The sequence below is a fragment of the Homo sapiens genome, chromosome 3 (genome assembly GCF_000001405.40).
Source record: "Homo sapiens chromosome 3, GRCh38.p14 Primary Assembly".
In the NCBI taxonomy this organism is placed as follows: Eukaryota; Metazoa; Chordata; class Mammalia; order Primates; family Hominidae; genus Homo; species Homo sapiens.
Genome location: NC_000003.12, coordinates 84,546,693 through 84,566,549, shown reverse-complemented (window position 1 = coordinate 84,566,549; position 19,857 = coordinate 84,546,693). Strand labels below are relative to the sequence as shown.

The following is a 19,857-nucleotide window of genomic DNA, read 5'->3' as shown; positions in this document are numbered from 1 at the left end:
TCCAACTGCCTCGGCCTCCCAAAGTGCTAGGATTACAGGCATGAGCCATCATGCCCGGCCTTTTTAGTAAATATTTAGAGAGGATTTATTATGTGCTGGCACTGACATAGGCATTCAGAATATAAAGATGAATCAAACACAGATTTGCCCTCCAGGAGCTCATAGTAGAGGTTGGGAAAGGGGTTGACAACTTCTTACCATATTATAATAATTCAGTATAATCAATGTTATGATTTCAGTATGTGCAAGGTGTAATGGGAATGGGAAGAAAAGTACTTTGAATTAGACATCTCAATTTAAATGCCTCCTGTCTGAGAGATGTATTTTACACTGAAATTTTATATAAATAAATAACAGCATCTACTTGTTTTCTAATGTAGTACTTGGAAGACAATTTAATAAATGTCTGTGGTGTGTGTGTGTGTGTGTGTGTGTGTGTGTGTGTTTAAATCCTCCCAAAGTATAAGTGCCTAAGGAGTGACAGATTTAATTTTACCTTTTAGAGAAACTACTATACTTTGTAGTAGTCTGTGGAGAAACAAGACAATAAGAAAGAAACAAGCAGCACTATAAAGACAAAATAAGTTGTTTGGTTAACCTGAAACAAAAAATTCTCTGAAGTAAACTTAATATTTCCTTTCAATGTCCAGTCACATAGAAGTGTATTTACAAAGAATACCACTCAGCTTCTTAAGAAAACATGTTCTCAAATTATATATTGTAAGCCACTGTCAAATTCAGCACCATTTTTTATCCTGAAGAAATGACTATGAATAAAAACGTTTTAAATTCTTCATATCAGTTTTATATTTTATGATAATTGATTATTGACCAACTAGGTAGGTTAGGGAGATAATATTCTCATTTTTTGTTAAACGTCTCTCAACATTCTGAGATGTATCTGGGAAAAAGAATGTAAATGTGGGATTGAGATCCTGCCACAGTTCTCAGAAAGAGTGAAACAAGCTTTGCTCTCGTAGGCTGCCATTCTAAGTACACATTATGCAGGGTTATATAAGCATTCTTCATAAAGAAAACAGAGGATTTTAGATCATGTTTTATGAATTCTTGTGCTGAGCCCACTGAGACCATGAACTTTATCTTGGGTGGAAGAACTAAACAAAAGAATGCTTTTACTCTTTTAATTTTCATGGGAAATTGCTTCTCAGAAATTCTTTCTGACGATAAACTGTTCTGAATTATTATTATTATTATCATTATTATTATTAAAAACAACTAAGATTCAGATTGAATGCTCTAATGGTAAAGTTCATAATTGGACTATAAGTCATCAGAGTTGACATTCTCAATGCATTAGAATGAAGAAAGTAGAAGTTTGAAGGCTCTGTACATAACCGTTTTCTTCAGGGATTTATAACACATTATGCAATAGGCACATGTTAAATACTGTATCTCAAATATAGTCACTCAATTCTACTTCTAACACTAACTAGATTATATGATCATCAATTTTTTAAACTTTAACCTGACTCTTTATTCTCTACCAATTCTGTTTCTGAGTGATAATGACATTTCAACCATATTTTAATGTTTGCCGAATTGCAGTAAACAACATTTTCATATTTGGAAAAATTAAAGCAATAATAAAATTTACAGGTTGCAATCCTATGATAATCTTCAGTTGCTTTTTTGACCACCCATTCTTTTAGTAAGAACATCCTCGTTTCTTTTGTCATTCACATCTACTCTTTTGGCCTATGTGCTTAATGATATTGGCAGCACTGTCTTGATTAGCATAAATCCATCAGTACTGTCTCATTTTAAAGTGTCCTATATTGTCCAAAGTGTTTTACAATTTATTGTGGGAGTCATACATGAGCAGCATATGTGCAAATTATGTAAATTGTGGAAGCAGAAGAGAAGGAAGCCATTATTTTAACACAGAGAATCAGGGAAAGTTATCATTCAAGATTTATCAGAGACTATCTCCTTGTTGCTTTGGCATTGTGCATAAGTGTTTTCTACAATAATGTCCCATTGCCCAGCCTGTAACTTTGGGAATACTGTGATGGCGGCAGTGACCAGTCTCCACATTTCATTGTTCAATCATTCACCTCTTGGGGTACTGAGAGAAGGTTTCTCTAGATCTGTCCTCGTGATCGCAGGATAAGAAAAACAATTGCCTTACAAATACTGCACAAATGCATTTAACTGGAAGAAATTGATTGGCAGAGTATTCACCGCAGTGTGTTCTGGGAAACGCAGATTTTAGCTTTCAGAACTTTGTTTCAGGAAGATGTATTTGAAGCAGGTGGGCATGAAAGCTGAAAGCTGAGTGCAAATCAACGGTAGTCAACACAGAGATGTATGTAAAACATCTACATCGGATGTATTTTGACCTGGAGTTCAGCATAGATAGATCTTCAAATTTGAAGTCAGTATGCTTTGAGTATAGCATATAGTTTAGAGGTGAAGAAGAGATGAGAGGAGAAAAAGCTGCTGGACTGAATAACCATATATCTAAAGTGATTGATGTTTCTATTACACAAGAAGAGCTTCATTTTCTTATGTATGGCTTGTCTTGAATCCTGAGAATTTTTTCTCTGAAAATATATTCTTCATTTCCAAATTTCCAAATTCTTGTAGAACTATATTTTAATGTTATTGCATCTGATTGTACTTCCTAGTGTTTTGCAGTTTGTCTTGTCTGCAGCATTATTTTCACAAGATTTTACGTGCATTGTGAGAAAAAAAAGATTGTGTTCAAATACATGTAGGGTAACTTGTATGAGATAAATTTAGGGTATCTTTACATAAGATATCTGAAATTTATTTGAACGCAAACTTTTTTGGGGGAATATATATATATCCAAAATTATTGCCTGCTTCAGATTTCTAAAAAGTTAAAACTATGTTATAAAGAGTTTTATTACACTGTTTATTTCTCTTTCGCTGTAGTAAGCACATTTCATCAAATTCATCAATTGCCAGTGAATAGTAAAACTTTAGAGCTGCTTTGAACACTTCAGCTAGTTTTATATCTGACTCACATTTTATTTTTTCATGTGTGTTTGTATGTGGTAAAAGCCCATATGTAATCTCCTAGGGGTTATTTTCTGTAGCCAGCTAAGTGGTCACGTAGAGATGCTCGAAATTTTTTTTCTTAGATTATTAGAAGTAAGACAAAGATAATCTATAGGACAATTCATATAGCTTTGTTATTTTAGAAAAAAATCTGTCTTAATAATTATGTATATGTTTTGATAATAAGTAGGTGAAATATTTTAAATAAAATGTAACAATCTCCAAATCTCGGTAGTATTGAGATATAAATTCTAAGGAGTACAGTTCATGCTTTCTGAACAAAAGGCATATTTGAAAGACAAACATGCCTTGGAAGCTAGAGATAGTGTATTCCTCTGGAGAGATTCAGAAATGTAAAGTTCTTGTCTTATTTTTCCTCTAACACATTTAACATACTGCAGGATAATAAACATAGAGACATCTCTCTGTCTCCCGGAAAGAGAGCTGCTTAATGACTAAGAGCTTTTACTCTAGAGGAGAGGATAGGCAGATGTATCACCAGTTCCATACAAACTTAGAATCTTTTCTGGGTTTCCTCCCCTGTAGTACAGCTCCCTGCATGCACATCTAAACAATTAAACTTCATCCTGCTGTGAGAATCCTGGAGGAAGTACTCTGTAGATTTTGCTGACAGTAATACATGGTCTATTCCTTTGATCTAAGGATCTTATGCTCTTCTTTCAGTATATGGACATGAAATTGTAACAGACTAACTTGCAGGCTTACAAGCAGGGAAAACCTTAGACCCTTCCTAGTCTGTATTATCTGAATACTGCAAAAGTCTATTTTGCACTCATGTTTCATTCTCACTGTAGAAGAACTGGGACATCCTCCCTAGTATCCTAACTCAAGTAAACAAGAGGGAGAACGGTGTAGAGTTTACACCAATAAGTGTCACTCACTTTCCACTCTCATCTTATTGGTTAAAATGGGGTTGGAAGTGCAACTTCCAGGAAGCGAAAGAGCCAGGAACATTTGGTGAACCAAACTAATGTTTACCACAAATAACTAATTCACTAACTAGAAACATCTGTATTCTTATTTAAAATGTTTGGTTTAAGTATTTTGTACTAAATAAGGTGAAGTGTGTTGGCAAAATGTGAGGTCTGTCTTTTTATCTCAATGCGTTTTAAGTTTAGAGAGAAAGAATCATAGTTTAGCAGCAAAGCATCAGGATTTTGACCCCTACCTAGTTCAATATTCAAAATGTAAATGCCATTTCCAAAATAGAAAATAACATCCAATATTGAGGCCGGGCGCGGTGGCTCACGCCTGTAATCCCAGCACTTTGGGAGGCCGAGACGGGCGGATCACGAGGTCAGGAGATCTAGACCATCCTGGCTGACACGGTGAAACCCCGTCTCTACTAAAAATACAAAAATTAGCCGGGCATGGTGGCGCGCGCCTGTAGTCCCAGCTACTCGGGAGGCTGAGGCAGGAGAATGGCGTGAACCCGGGAGGCGGAGCTTGCAGTGAGTCGAGATCGCGCCACTGCGCTCCAGCCTGGGCGACAGAGCGAAACTCCGTCTCAAAAAAAAAAAAAAAAAAAAAAAAAAAAAAGAAAATAACATCCAATATTGAAATAACAATAGCTCAATTAGAAAAATAAAGGAACCACACTTGTTCAACAATACCAGAAGCTTCAATTTCTGTTCTAAACACTCCAAATTAGAAAGAACTGGGGCTAGAGTTTGATGGAGAAATTCAAGATAGTTTAACATATTTATGTGTATACATATATACAGCTAGAGTTTGATGGAGAAATTCAGATAGTTTAACATATTCGTGTGTGTGTATGTGTGTGTGTGTGTGTGTGTGTATATATATACACACACACACATATACATATGTAGTACTTAGTCTATGCTGTTTTATGCACCGTACTGTTCTAAACACTTTGAACATGATAATCCTAACATGTGCACACTTTATCATTAACTTTATTTTACAAAGGATTGAACTGAGGCACAAATATATGATATCACTAGCCTTAGACCACATAGCTAATATGTGGAAAAATGTCTAGATTCCAGTCAAGGCAATTTGACTCCAGAATCTGTGTTCTTAAACAATTTCTAGGGCTATGGACATGTGTCTTGTTTTACATGAAAATAAAATATTTTTTGCTACTTGTTTTGAACTTGGAAACACTGGACCACTTTTAGGAGAAAGTCTATATTCATTTGGTATATCATAAGTTGTCAAATTCAAGATCATGGGTAAAGACATATTTTGGCTTATAACATAATTAACTCTTCTGTGGCTTAGGATATAATTAAACATTTTAAGTCAGAATAATCCTAAACTAAAGTTATATAGAAGATAGAGATTTCCCTATTACAGCAGCTTTTATGCTTACCCTGAATTATCAGTGGTTCTATAGATAGAATTAGTGTAGTTACAGATATTAACAAAAATTTCCCTCTTCCGTAAAGCATTGAATGTCTTGCTATTAAAGGCTGAGATACCATTTGATTTACCCCCTTTATAATTATATCATGGAGTAAAATTCAGGTTGGTTATGTATCCAGTATGTTTGTATTTATTTATTCATTCTTCCCTTTTCCATAAAGGTTCATTTTGTCATTCTCCAAGAAAAATTTCATCCAATGACTGTTTTCCTAGAAAGCATATGTATGTGGAATATAGGCTCGGATTAATAACACTTTTCTTTTCTTATTTTCTATAACTATGGATTGTTACTCAGAATGTCTTTCCAAACTTTGGTAGCAGTGCTCCAAAGTATAGAAATTTTCTACAATAGCAGAGCCTGGAAGGGATCTATAGCTACAATTTATCAATAAGACAGTTACTGGCAAAGAACCAGTCAGAGATTTTATGGAGAACTCTGTGTATGAAAATTGAATTGGAAAGGAATGGAAAGAAATGCTAAAACACAGAGAACATCATATACATAAAGTTCAAATCTGCATGCTATAGTTGAAATTTTAAAAAATTTGACTGACAATTATATTCTTTATCTGAATATAGATTTTAAAAGGTATGAAGACATACGTGACCTTTTTAAAGTAATTTGTAGAATTAACTGTGAACCAGCTCTTCTCTTCTCTGCCATGAGAAAGCTCTCTTGCCACACACAAAATCGTAGTGGCTAACAAGGTTAAATAAAATTAATAAAAAGCTTCAGTTTGAATTTTTAATGACACCATACCCAAAAGCACGACCTTGTTTCACGTGCCAATCTCTCATTACCCTTTTTTTTTTACATTGCATTCAACTTTCCTTTATAAAAATTGAAATTCACAGTCATCCCTTGAAACACTCTGAAAATTTTCAACTAAACTGTATAGGCAGAACTCACATTACACAAAAGAAAACTTTTAAAACACTCACCATCTGGGAATCTCTGCTCACAGAAAGCATAGAGACAAATCTCTTATTAGGCTATACATTTTTCTATTTTAAAAGAAAAAGCAATTATTAAAAATTCTATTGCTTAATCAGAAAAATCTACCTTAAATAATCCTAGATGTGAAAAATATGTGCTTAGTATCCTTTATGACATATGGTCAACATCCATTTTAGAATTCTGACCTCCAAAACTGAAAGACAATTAATTTAGGTTAAGCTACCAAACTTGTGGTCATTTATAACAGCAAAAATGGTAAGCAAATACATTACATTTTTCATTTTACTGTAATGAGTCTACGTGTAGATTTATTTTGTTTAACATTCATATCTTTATTCAATATCAGAACATGCTTGTTTTTTTTTTCATGTTTTGTTTCTAATAAGGCTTGTTGCATTTTCACATGTCTATGATTTTGTGGAGATAGAGAAGGGTCATTTACCAGCCTCTTCCAGTTAGAACTGGTGGCCAGATAGTATGTTTTTCTTACAGGGACTTTGAAAGAATATTTTGACTTTTAATGTCCAAAGCCTTTTTTTTTTTTTTAATATATATATATTTGTGTGTGTGAGTGCAGTGATGCGATCTTGGTTCACTGCAATCTCCACCTCCCAGGTTCATGCAATCCTCCCACCTCAGCCTCCCGAGTAGCTGGGACTACAGCTATGCGCCACCATGCCTGGCTAATTTTTGCATTTTTTGTAGAGACAGGTTCGCCATCTTGCCCAGCATGGTCTCGAACTTCTGGGCTCAAGCAATCCACTTGCCTTGGCCTCTAAAATTGCTGGGATTACAGGTGTGAGCCACCACCCCAGCCTGCCTCCATGTTTTTCTATACCTGGTATAGAAGAGCTTTTCTACCATGTGAGCTTTTTCATGCTTCTGCAAGCTACATAGGTCAGATTGTCTACAACGCATAGATTTTCTAGTCCGTTACCATTTGACCATTAGCACTTCAGTTTCAAATATGTATTAATATTTTCTTTCTACTTTATTTCTTCTTCATTCTCCTTTTATTTGTAGGTTTATGTTACTCTTTCACTTATATTTCCACACGCTTTAGAAGAAAGCAGACCTCAAATTCATGTACAATTTGTCAAAAAAGTAGATGTATACCATGGGGCAAATAAAAATAATTTGCCTACAGAGTTAAAAGAATACGTGAAGGGCCAGATAAATATGAAACTCTGGAGCTATAGAGAGAATATTTTTATGTTTCTACTCAGCTGGAGACTTTTGAGCAAATATTACTGAAACTTTGTCCTGGGCTAAAAGAGCAAGGCCTGGAAATTAATTTACAACTCCATGTATAACTAATAAGGAAACTCCAGAAAGACGTACCTAATTCCAGAGGCGCACACACACACACACACACAGAGTTACAAATTGATATATTTATATAACATATTCACAATTTCTTATTTGTGAAAATAAATAATATTGCTCTTTCTTCAGAATAAAAGCGAAGACTGTAATTGCAGAGGATGTAAGTTTAGGGTTCATTTAGAAATTATGGAGGAGTTAGGCAAAGAGGTAAATAACGGGTTGTATATTTCTAATATATTTAAGGTTACCAGTGCACTTCTATAATTTATAGTGAGTTTTAGCTTTCTATTGAAAATTTAAAAACAAGTTTAAATATGGATTTCAGGTGAACAATAAATTAAACCAGAACCCTAGCCCCATTGAAATGATTTTGATGTTTCTTTTAATACTTTGTAGTTTGTACTTGGAGGTAGCCTTTCATATAGCACTAGGAACCACATAAGACCATTTATTTTTTCCTGTGCTTAGAAAGAACACCATGTGTTTCACTTTCAATATGCTTAGAACAAATGCCATAGCATAAGATATGACATAATAATTCTTATTTGTACCTTATAAAATTTGAGCATTTATTTTGAGGCTGTCTACAGATTAGTGGTTCTCCATTTGTATCTGCATTCATGGTCCCCAGAAGGAAACACTGTAACTTGGTTAATGTTGGTTGTTTGCCACTTTCCAGAGAGATCTTCAACTAACTCACTGTCCTGTAGGACTAGTAAATAATCCATTCTTCATTATTAGATCTTCCTTTCTCTAGAGTCATTTGAAGGTCCCAGATTGTCACACACTGACAAATCATTGATTGGCCACTCTGGCCGTCACACTGCTGTGGTGACCCTGTGAATGTCTAATTTTCTAGCCTTGAGATTCACTGGCCTAGCTTGAGTTCAAATTGTTTTTAATAAACAGTGTTATGGTCATATTTTCCAGGATAAGACCATAGACAGACTAATTTAACTCAAATTTTACACAGACTTACGTCTTTCATGCCAAACTTGGAGCCAGGAAATACTGTCAAATCAAGTGTTTTAATACCTAGAGCTAGGGTGCGGTGGCTCACGCCTGTAATCCCAGCACTTTGGGAGGCCGAGGCGGGTGGATCACGAGGTCAAGAGATTGAGACCATCCTGGCCAACATGGTGAAACCCCATCTGTATTAAAAATACAAAAATTAGCCGGGCGTAGTGGCGGGCGTCTGTGGTCCCAGCTACTCAGGAGGCTGAGGCAGGAGAATGGCTTGAACCCGGGAGGCGGAGCTTGCAGTGAGCCGAGATCGCATCATTGCACTCCAGCCTGGCGACAGAGTGAGGCTCTGTCCCAAAAAAACACAACAAAACAAAACAAACAACCATCCAACCAAACAAACTAACAAACAAAAGACTTAGAGCCTGGCTATCCAGGAGCACCTGTCAGAAAGCTGTTCTGCGGGGTTCACACCTCACAAAAGAGACCATTCTGAATAGTTAGAGCTTTCCACTCTTCAAGAATCTCTCCCAAGTTTGGGAAATTTTTTTCCTTCATTCTTGACCCCTGTTTTCTCTTTACTCTATAAAGTGCTAGCATATTTGGTTTAGTTAGTTTGGGATTTTACAAATCGCAGGAAGAACCAGTGACTTGAACCAACTTTTGATACTAGGACAGCATCCATTCACCCAGAAAAATAAATGCAAAATTATGGATAACTTATCAGAAGAGAGACTTTAAATTATTAAACACAAATTAATATCTAAATAAATTACCTTGCCTCATTTATATTCATCAAATTAGTCCTTATTTGTAGCGCACAGCTTATTTATTTTACAGATTTTTCACTGAGCAAAGTCATATAAATAAGCAGAAGCTTTTAATGCTTTGAAGACAGAAAAATACATTATTTTGTTTTTTCCTGTTATGGTTTGTTGTTTTTTTTATGTTTGGCACATAAAATAGATGAGATATTTCATGCCCAGGTGTATTATATATTTTGAGCAAATACCTTGCGCATTTATTGTGCTGTTTCCAAAAACACTGAGGGAGTTGGGAAACGTCTTTGCTCATCTCTAATCCAATTCTCCTTCATTGTTTCCTGTACTTTCACTTCATGAACCATATTTCTCAAATAAATGGCATCTATTCCTCTAAAAGAAGACTCCTGTAATTCCATCTGAAAGCTATAATAACACAAATTTTCTTTCTTTTCACAATTTATATGATTTGAAATAAAGTAACCACTAAAGCAGTGAGGGAACATTTTAGAGCTTTTACTAAAAATACACCGTCACAGTCTGCATTTAAAACATTGAAAATCAGTTTGACGACATAATTAATTACGTATTAACACTGAAAATATGATAATAAAGTAGTCTCAGATTATGAGTGTTTCCATAATATATATTGTTCATTAATTAATTTGGTTTTGATTTTCATCAATTATACAATAAAAATCATGTATACATAAAAAATGATGAATCATTAAAAATATTTTCTAGTCTATTTAGAAATGCTGCTAGAATAAGCAAAGAGTATTTAGATTATAGTCATATTTTAGGTCTACTTTTGTTATGTATTAGTTATGAGATGACTGAGTATATTTCCCATATATTAAATGGTGATATTTTTCTCCTTCACAGAAAAGGAAGAAGGGAAATAGAGTAAGGGAGAAAAAAATGACAAATTAAACAGAACCCAAAATTTGGAAAGTAACTGTACCATGCCTCACAAAACAGTTAAACTGAAAAACAATACCATGCAGTGTAGCTTGAGTGAAAATTATTTTAACGAGTGTTATGGCCATATTTTTCCACAATAAGACCATAGATAGATTAACTAAACTCAGATTTTACACAGACTAATATTCCAAAGATAAACTCATCACTTTTCCAGTAACTGGTTTATTTTACCAAGTTTCACCAATTCTGCTGGACCTCCCTCTTTGAAACATTCCTGAGATGGTCGATGGCTGGTGTTCTGCCTTGCAAGTTTAAGAAAACAAACTTTGTCTAGTCAGCAAGTATTCCTAGGTGCCCTTCTATGGAAACTTCAACAGAAAAAGACAAGTGGAAGTCACAGAATACCTATGAGAGCGTGGGTTGTATACAAACCAAACTGAACATGTTAACAGAAAATAAATTAAGAAAAACAGAAAAAGGAATGTAGTTATAGAAAATCATATGAACTACTGTCATTTTATGTCTCCAAATACTAACTGTAAGGGTGACCTATTAAAGGATGAAAATCTTAAAAAGGAAATCATATGGATGAAATGGTGTGAGCAACTAAAGAAGGGGAGAGAAGAACGCAATATGAAAAACATTAATGGGAATAAAGAGAAAACAAGGTAAATGTTGAAGTGGTTCTAATTTATCATTTATTGTAATTGTTTATTTGTTTCCATCAAAGATAAGAAACATGAAGATTATGGAAGGTAAAAGGAGATAAAAATACTTAGGCAGTATTTTTATCTTTGAAGTTTCTTTGAAGGAACAAGAGTAACAGGAAAGCATTAAGCTCTTGCTCAGCAAAAGATTAAGTGATTATTAATTCAGTTGAGAGAAACTTCAATGGTTACAGTTGCATTAATCCAAACTCCAGGAAATAAAGCATTTGATATGATTTTCAGATCTCTAGTATAAAATGAATGCATTTTGGAGATTTTATCAGGTGCAAAAGGACCAAGACAGCAGGAAGAGTGATCAAAAATTAGTGATAAATACTCAATTCACTCTCTTTAGGAAGAACTGATATGGAAAATATTGTCACTTTAATATAAAAATGATTTTCACAGTTCCTCTAAAAGTAGAAGATAGAAGTGAGATTTAGATTAAGATATAATAAAAAGAGTTATTATATATTGTGTATTTACTATGTGCCAGGTGATGTTCAGGAACTTTATATAGTATACCACAATTAATCCCACACAACACCATCAGATAGTATTGCTGCCATTTTACGGATGAGGGAATTGGGATTTTGATCTATTTTAACATCCTTTAAAGATGATATAATCATGTCATTTTTGAACCCAATATGTATGTTCTTTTCTCTACTTCAAGCTACTTCAAAATATGCACACCTACAAATGGAAGATAAGTTCAATCACCTCTCAGATATTTTTTCTTCATTTTCATGAATTAAAATCGGGATTAGATTAGGTTGAAATAAGAGAAAGGTATGCTACAATTATGAATAAAATTCTTAGTCGGCAAGTATAGGAAGTTTATTTTAGAATATGAAACAAATAGTGCATGCATTATATGCAAACTGTCCTGAAGCATTTTCATGAGGGCAGTTTGATTGGCGCTACTACTGCTATTCCTACTAGTACCACCTCAATAACCACTTCCACCACCACCGCTAAAATATATCTTTTATTATATACTTGCTGTGTGCAAGGCTTTGTGCTAAGTGCTTTATGTACCTTATCATGACACTTTTTAAAACTCAAGTAGTTAATATTATTACCACCATTTTATAGGGAAAGATACTGAGACTCATAGAGTTTATTAAACTTCTCAGAATACATAGATCGTAAGAGGCAATCCTAAAATTGGGAGTCAATTTAATCTTCCTACAAATTCCATGCTATTCCTCTCTGCTTTCTGCCTATTTATATGTTATTACAGAGCTTGAAATGCATTTTATATATAATTTTATATACATATTGTATACATTTTTTCTGATTATTCCTTACCATAAGATGATGAAATGGAAAAGTCAGAGGTTAACCTTATTTATTTATTTATTTTTTAGAGATGAGAAAGCTGAGGTTTTATTTTCAATGCAGGTAATACAGTAAGAGGTGTGTTTAAGAATATAATTCTAAGCATAGGTAGAGCTAAGTCTAAATCTTGAAAAGGCTTTTCCAGCCCACTCAAAATGCTTATAAATCTGCCCTCCCTTTTCTCTAGCTGCTTCCAAACTCAACAGTCTATGCTATTGAAATGTCTATTAGGCTTCATCTATTTATTCTGCATTTTTTTCATTTCCTGTTCTGACCTATCTGGTCCTGTCCTGCCTGTCTTGCCTCATCTTTTTTTTTTTTTTTTCTCACAACTTTCATTGGCTTTCCATGTTGCTAAGGAAAAGCATCCAAACTTATAACTTTGGATGTCAAAGTTCTGCTCAAGCTGGTCCCTGCCTAATGCTTATACCTTATTCTGTTGCACTCCCTCCCTCATCCAGTGTTCTCCAGCCATGTCCATCTTTTTATTGTTCTTACAGTTTGCTAGGTTCAGTCTCAAATGGGGCCTTGTATATTAGATATTCTTTCTGCCTAGAATGTCATCCCCCTAAATGTTGCCATGGCTAGCTCATTTCATTTAGATTCTGACCTAGCCTATATTTCATTTACTTGTAGAAGGCTGTCCTCCAGATACTCTTATCACATCATCTTTTTTAAAAAAATTGATGCATAGTAATTGTACATGTTTATTGGGTCCATGTGATATTTTAATAAATGCATACAATGTGTAATTATCAAATTGGGATATTTAATATATCAATTACCTCAAACATTTATCATTTATTTATAACGGGAACATTTCAAATCTTTTCAACTATTTTGAAATATACAATAGATTGTTGTTAACTCTAGTCACTCTGTTTTGCTATGGAACACTAGAACTTATTTCTTCTAACTAACTGTGTATTGGTACCCATTAATCAACCTCTCTTCATCTCCCTACCACCATATCCAGTCTCTAGTACTTATCATTTTACTCTTCTACCTCTTTATTTTTTTGGCATAACACTTGTTGTAGCTCAAGTTGCTATAACAAAGTGACATGGACTGGGTGGATGGTGGATGGCTTATTTTAAAAAAAGTATTTTTGACAGTTCTGGAGATTGAAATTCCCAGATCACGGTGCCAGCATGGTCAGGTTCAGGAGAGGGCCCTTACCTGGGCTGCAAACTACTAACTTCTTCATATAGTGGAGAGCAGAGGGCCAGAGAGCTCTCTGGGCTTCCTTTTATAAGGGCACTAAACCCATTCATTAGGACTCTACCCTAGTGAACCAAAGGTAATTAGTTACCCATGAACTACATGAACTAATTACCCAAAGACCCGAATGATTATTACCATTACATTGTGGGGTAGGATTTCAACATATGCCATTTAGCATGAGGACACATTCAGTCAATAACAGTACTTATCATCACTAAGCATGATATGATTTCTTTTGGTCTTTTAGACCTTTGTTTATTCATTTTTCTTTCTCTACTAAACTAAAATGTAAGCATAATAATAGAAACCTTGTCTCTTTTATTTTCTGCTATAATTTCTATAGTAGAACAGTGCCTGATATGGAGGATATTTAATGATTTTTTTGAGATCTAATTTATATATCATAAACTTCACTGTCTTAGGTGTAAAGTCCAGTGGCTTTTAGAACATTCAAGCATTGTGCAAACATCACCACTAATTTCAAAACATTTTTATCATCCCCTAAAGAAATCTCATACTCATCAATAACCACTCTCTATTCTCTGCTGTTCCCGGTCCCACACAACAACTAATCTCTTTTGTCTATGGACTTGCCTATTCAGGACATTTCATGTAAAGGGAATCATGCAGTATATGGCTTTTTGTAAGTAGGTTTTTTTTACTTACTTTACTTATTTTCAGGGTCATCCATGTTGTAGCCTGCATTAATACTTCATATATATATATAGTTGGATAATATTTCATTGTATAGACATCCACATTTGTTTAATCTGTAGATTCATATACAATTTTTTGAAGATATGTTTCAATTTTCTTAAACATATGTGTGTATATATATCTTATACACATAATCTGGAAGGAATTTCATACAATATTTTTAATATTTTGTGCAAGAAAAAGTTTTGACTGCAAATTGTCACATGAGGTCAGGTGTAAAATTTTCTACTTATGTCATCATGTCAGCATTCAAAAATTTCAGATTGTGAGGCTTTTCAAATTTTGGATTTTCAGATTAGGGATGTTTAGCCTCTACTCAGTTATACTCAGGAAGAGCGAATGTTTCAGTTTAATTCAGAAAACTGAAAAAGACAGATTTCCCAGTTCAAAGCAGTCAGGCAGGAGGAATTCTCTCTTATTCACAGGAGGATCAACAATTTGTTCTGTTAAGGCCTTCAACTGAGTGACTGACAGCCACTCACATAAGGAAAGACAATCTGCCTTACTCAGTGTACTGATTCAAATGTTAATCTCATCAACCCTCCCCCCAACAGACCCACCCAGAATAATGTTTTATCAAACATCTGGACATCCCATTGCCCAGTCAAGTTGACACATTACAACTAATCCTCATAGTTTACCCAATATTCCATGCTAAAACATGTTATTATAAATATATGTTGGTAAAATAATAAAACTCCAGGAATGCAAGAACAGAAAAGATTTCACCAATTGCCTTTCCTGAGTTAGTTATGTAAAGCATTACTTCGATAAAGTGAGACATAAATAAAAATTAAAAATCAACTTGTAAGGAAACTTTGTATTCCAAATATGACTGTCCTCAGTGAAATCAGTAAAGCTTAAAGATAGCAGAATAATGAAAATTAATTTAAATCTCAAAAATTTGTAAAATATAAGACTTAAGCCAGCAAAGTGTCAAAGGAAGTAATTTGCATATAAACTCAAAATTACTAAAATAGATCAAAAAAGAAAAAGAAAGTACATCAATTAATATAACTACAAGATAGAGGAGAGGAAATGAACACTAAATTTCTTCTGTTAATTGGCTGAGTTTATATGTGAAACACTATGGTAAATAAAAAGTAGATAATATTCTATTGCCAAAAATTACATATTGAATCATTTTAAAATTTGATTACAGTAATATTAATACTAAGATAACTAATAGTGTAAATATTGAAATATAATACAATTTAAAGTGACTAAAGAAAAAAATGATTAGAAGGAAATAAATCTGAGTAAGACAAAGATGAATAAGAAAACATGGTAACAATAAGAAAAGATAAACTAAAAACTTAAAAATATATTGTCAACACAAAAGCCAAATATGATATTTGTAATGGTAACTGAAGTAGATTTAACAATGACGGTTTACAATCAATATATTACATATTAGAATTTTAAAAAAATTAGAACACTTTGCTCCACAGGTGCAAATTCTTCCACCACTTAAGAATACAGGGGCTGTGAAGAATTAAAAAATAAAAATAAAGCAGATTAATATTTTAACATAGAACAAATAGAATATTGTAGAAAAAGCATTAAAAGAGAAATATTTTTATACCTATTAACTAAAAATAAACAGAAATTTCATCAGCAGATATGGGAAACACCTGCTTTCATGATTGATAGAGTTAATTATAAACTTAGTAAATTATTTAAAAGCACAGTGAACCACATTAAATATGAATGGAAATTGGTAACTGATATAAATATGAGAGGATTTTTTCATTAATATATTAAGAATTCACATAAGTCAATGAGAAAAAGAAGATTATTTCAAAATAAGACATGGTTGAAGAATATAAACAATTATTTCTTAAAAATAATAATCACAAAACATGATTATAAAATAAAAATTCAACATCACTGGTGATCAAATAAAATAAAACGGTAAATGCCACTTATCTTTATGTAATCTATATGTGCTTGTAAGAAATCAAAAAAATGCATTATTCATAAGCTTGTACAGAGATACTTCTGTTTATTATAGGTGGGATATAATATATAAAAGTATATATATATATGCTTTTCTTGGAAGCCAAGGTGGAAATGTGTGTATCAGTCTGTTCCCACGCTGCCAATGAAGACATACCTGAGACTGGGTAATTTATAAAGGAAAGAGGTTTAATTGATTCATAGTTCTTATACAGCTGGGGAGGCCTCACACTCATGGCGATAGGCGAATGACGAGCAAAGTCACCTCTTACATGGTAGCAGGCAAGAGAGAAGACGTGCAGAACAGAAGGGGGAAAAGCGCCTTATAAAACCATCAGATCTTGTGAGAACTCATTATCACAAGAACATCATTAGGGTAACCACCTCCATGATTAAATTGCCTCCCACAGAGTCCCTCCCACCACATGTGGGGGTTATGGGAACTACAATTCAAGATGAGATTTGGGTGGGGACACTGCCAAACCATATTAATGTGTTATTGGTATTTCTCTCTTGACAGTTTATCTTAAAATGTTTATTAGTGTTTAAAAATTTTGTATAAAAATGTTCAATATTAAACTGTTTATATTATAAAAAACAAAAGATAATATAAATTTTTTGTTCTAAAAATCACACTACATGCAACTGTCTACAATGTAGCCATTAAAAGTATGTATTAATTGATTTAAATGTAAGTTATGTATTAAAATAAAAGTAGATTATATAATGAAAGATATAACAGGATCTCATTTATAGTGTATTTGAAATTTAAAGTATATCTCTTTTTATAAAGCATCTCTATCATTTATACCTATTTAAAAATCACCATTTGGCAACCTTCAGAGTAAAGATTAATGCAGAAATATATTTGTGAATGTGTACTAAAACTGGTGTGTAAAATATTTGATGAGGAATAAGTTATTACACAAAGGATTTCCCCATGAAATAGGTACTCAAAATGGAAAAAACAACAACAACCCAATTTTGCAATGATAAAGGCTACTAGAGAGCACCTTAATCAAGCTGTCAAAGTTAACATCAAGAATGATGGTAGAGAAGGGGGACAAGATAACCGACTAGACCCAGCCAGGAAGCGCTGCCTTCACCAAGAGAGAGCAAAATATCATGTAAACCAACATAATTTGAGCAGGTATTCAATTCAGAGGATGAAGAAGCAATGCAAACTCCGAGGCTGAAGAGGGAGAAAGCTAGAAATCCTGTGCTGGGGACTCAAATGCTAGGGCTAGTTCCCAGCCCCAGAGGGCTCCTGGGAAATGGGTGAGTGAAGGGACTGAGGGACAGCCCATTCTTGCCACAGACTGCTGGTTTCTTAATTACAGAGGATTCCATGTCCCCATTGGATATTTCAGCTTGCAGGGGATCTGCCCAAGAGTAGGAGGAGTCAGAGCTTCGGCCGGCATGGAGCCCAAGGGCTTTTGTTCATGGAACAGTTTCTGCGGAATGTGGCTATAGGTGCCCATCCCCCTAGCGGCCACCATCGTCCTCCAAGAAACTCTAGTAGCAGCTGACTGCGGGCCAGGAGAGAGCAAAGTCAGTTTCTACCTGAGGACAGGGGCACATCTGTTCTGCCGGCACTCCTGAATGCCAGTCCCTTCCAAGGTCCCTCCCTGGCCATACCGCAAGAGTGTGTGCACAGCGCACACTCCACAGCCCAGCCTGGGTGATTTGCTCCCAATATTCCCAGCAACGTGGGAGCCCTTTGGATTCCCAGAGCAGCTGGGCCAGTTTCACGTCCCAGGGCTGTTGCATACAGCTCGCAAGGGCTGAACCAAGGTCTGTGGCTGGCATCCAAGTGGGGGAGAAGGCCCCACTCTCAGAGCACTGTGAGGAGTGAGATGCATGGGTTCATGGGACGGTGCAGGACGGGAGCATACCTCCTTCCGCAGTGCCAGTCCAGAAAAGGTGTGGCCTATCTTCTTGGAGCGGCCTGTTTGGCCCAAAACACCAAAGGAAATGCAGGTGTGGCGCCAGTGACTGGGGCCGGAGGGGGGTCTCCAAAGGCCCAGAGTTGACCTGGTCAGAGGACATCTCTCCCTTCCCACTGCAGAGCAGGCCTGGGAATGCAGAGAAATACGAAAGAGCTGCACGGCCGAGTAACAGCCTACAGACCGTTAATTTTAAGCGCCATCTACTGGATTACATCTCAAACTACAATACCTAAAGTATTGAGTGACTGTGTAACACCCCTGTGAAACCAAGGGCAAAAATCCAACCACAAAGATCCTATACAGAGCTTTGGCCCTCTGAAAGCACCTGGATAAGAACCTGACTGACTGTACTCAACTAACCCCACAATTAAGGGAACACCAGCTCTCCCAGAAAGAGAATCAGCACAAGAATTCTGGCAATTCAAAAAGCCAAAGCATTCCTTTGTCTCTAAATGAGCCCACTAGCTTTCCAGCAATGATTCTTAACCAGACTGAAATGACAGAAATGACAGACATAGAGTTTAGAATCTGTACGGTAAGTAAGCTCATCGATATTCAGGAGTAACATAAAATGCAATCCAAAGAAGCCAGGAAACCCAGTATAATGATCTCCAGGAGCTGATGACAAAATAGGCATTTAAAGAAAGAACTGAAAAATTCACTACAAGAATTTCATAATATAATCACAAGTATTAATTGCAGGAAAAAAAAACTGAGGAAAGAATCTCAGAGATTGAAGAACTGTTCTTTAAATCAACTCAGTCAGATAAAAATAAAAAAGAAAGAATATTGAAAAATAAACAACATCTCTGAGAAATACGGGATTATGCAAAGAGATAAGACCTATGACTCACTGGCATTCCTGAGAGAGAAGGAGAGAGAGTAAGTGACTTGGAAACATATTGGAGGGGATAGTCCATGAACATTTCACTAATCTCAATAGAGAGGGTGACATACAAATTCAAGAATAAAGAGAACCGAGGCTAGATACTATAAAAGTCGACCATCTCCAAGGCACATAATCATAAGGTTCACAAAGGTCAATGTGAAAGAAACATTCTTAAAAGAAGATAGAAAGGTTAGGCCACATACAGTGGGAACCCTATCAGGATAGCAGCCAACATCTCAGCAGAAACCTTACAAGCTAGAAGAGATTGGGGTTTATTTCCAGCATCCTTGAAGAAAAGAAATTACAACCAAGAATTTCATATTCCATCAAACTAAGCCTCATAGGCAAAAGAGAAATGAAATTCTTCTCAAACAAACAAATGCTGAGGGAATCCATTACAACTAGAAAAGCCTTACAAGTGGTCCTTAAGGCAGTACTAAACATGGAATCAAAAGAATAACACCTGCTATCACAAAAACACACTTAAGCACATAGCCAAAAGGCACTGTGAAGCAAATACACAATCAGCTTTCCATAAGAACCAGCTAATAGCATAATGACAGGATCAAAGTCTCACATAGCAGTACTAAAACTGAATGTAAGTCGCCTAAATGCCCCCATTTAAAATATACAGAGTGGTAAGCTGTATTTTTAAAAAAGAGACAAGATCCAACCATTT

The 19,857-nt window shown here is 35.0% G+C and overlaps 3 annotated features.

The window, feature by feature from the left end:
- Positions 17,616 to 18,170: an enhancer, noted in NCBI's record as "H3K4me1 hESC enhancer chr3:84597531-84598085 (GRCh37/hg19 assembly coordinates)". NCBI's record gives its function as "activates a minimal SCP1, AML or CMV promoter by ChIP-STARR-seq in naive H9 embryonic stem cells {active_cell/tissue: H9 hESC(naive)}" and the evidence as "EXISTENCE:reporter gene assay evidence [ECO:0000049][PMID:30033119]".
- Positions 18,171 to 18,726: an enhancer, noted in NCBI's record as "H3K4me1 hESC enhancer chr3:84596975-84597530 (GRCh37/hg19 assembly coordinates)". NCBI's record gives its function as "activates a minimal SCP1, AML or CMV promoter by ChIP-STARR-seq in naive H9 embryonic stem cells {active_cell/tissue: H9 hESC(naive)}" and the evidence as "EXISTENCE:reporter gene assay evidence [ECO:0000049][PMID:30033119]".
- Positions 18,396 to 18,455: a silencer, noted in NCBI's record as "silent region_14543". NCBI's record gives its function as "represses an Ori minimal core promoter by ATAC-STARR-seq in GM12878 lymphoblastoid cells {active_cell/tissue: GM12878}" and the evidence as "EXISTENCE:reporter gene assay evidence [ECO:0000049][PMID:35858748]".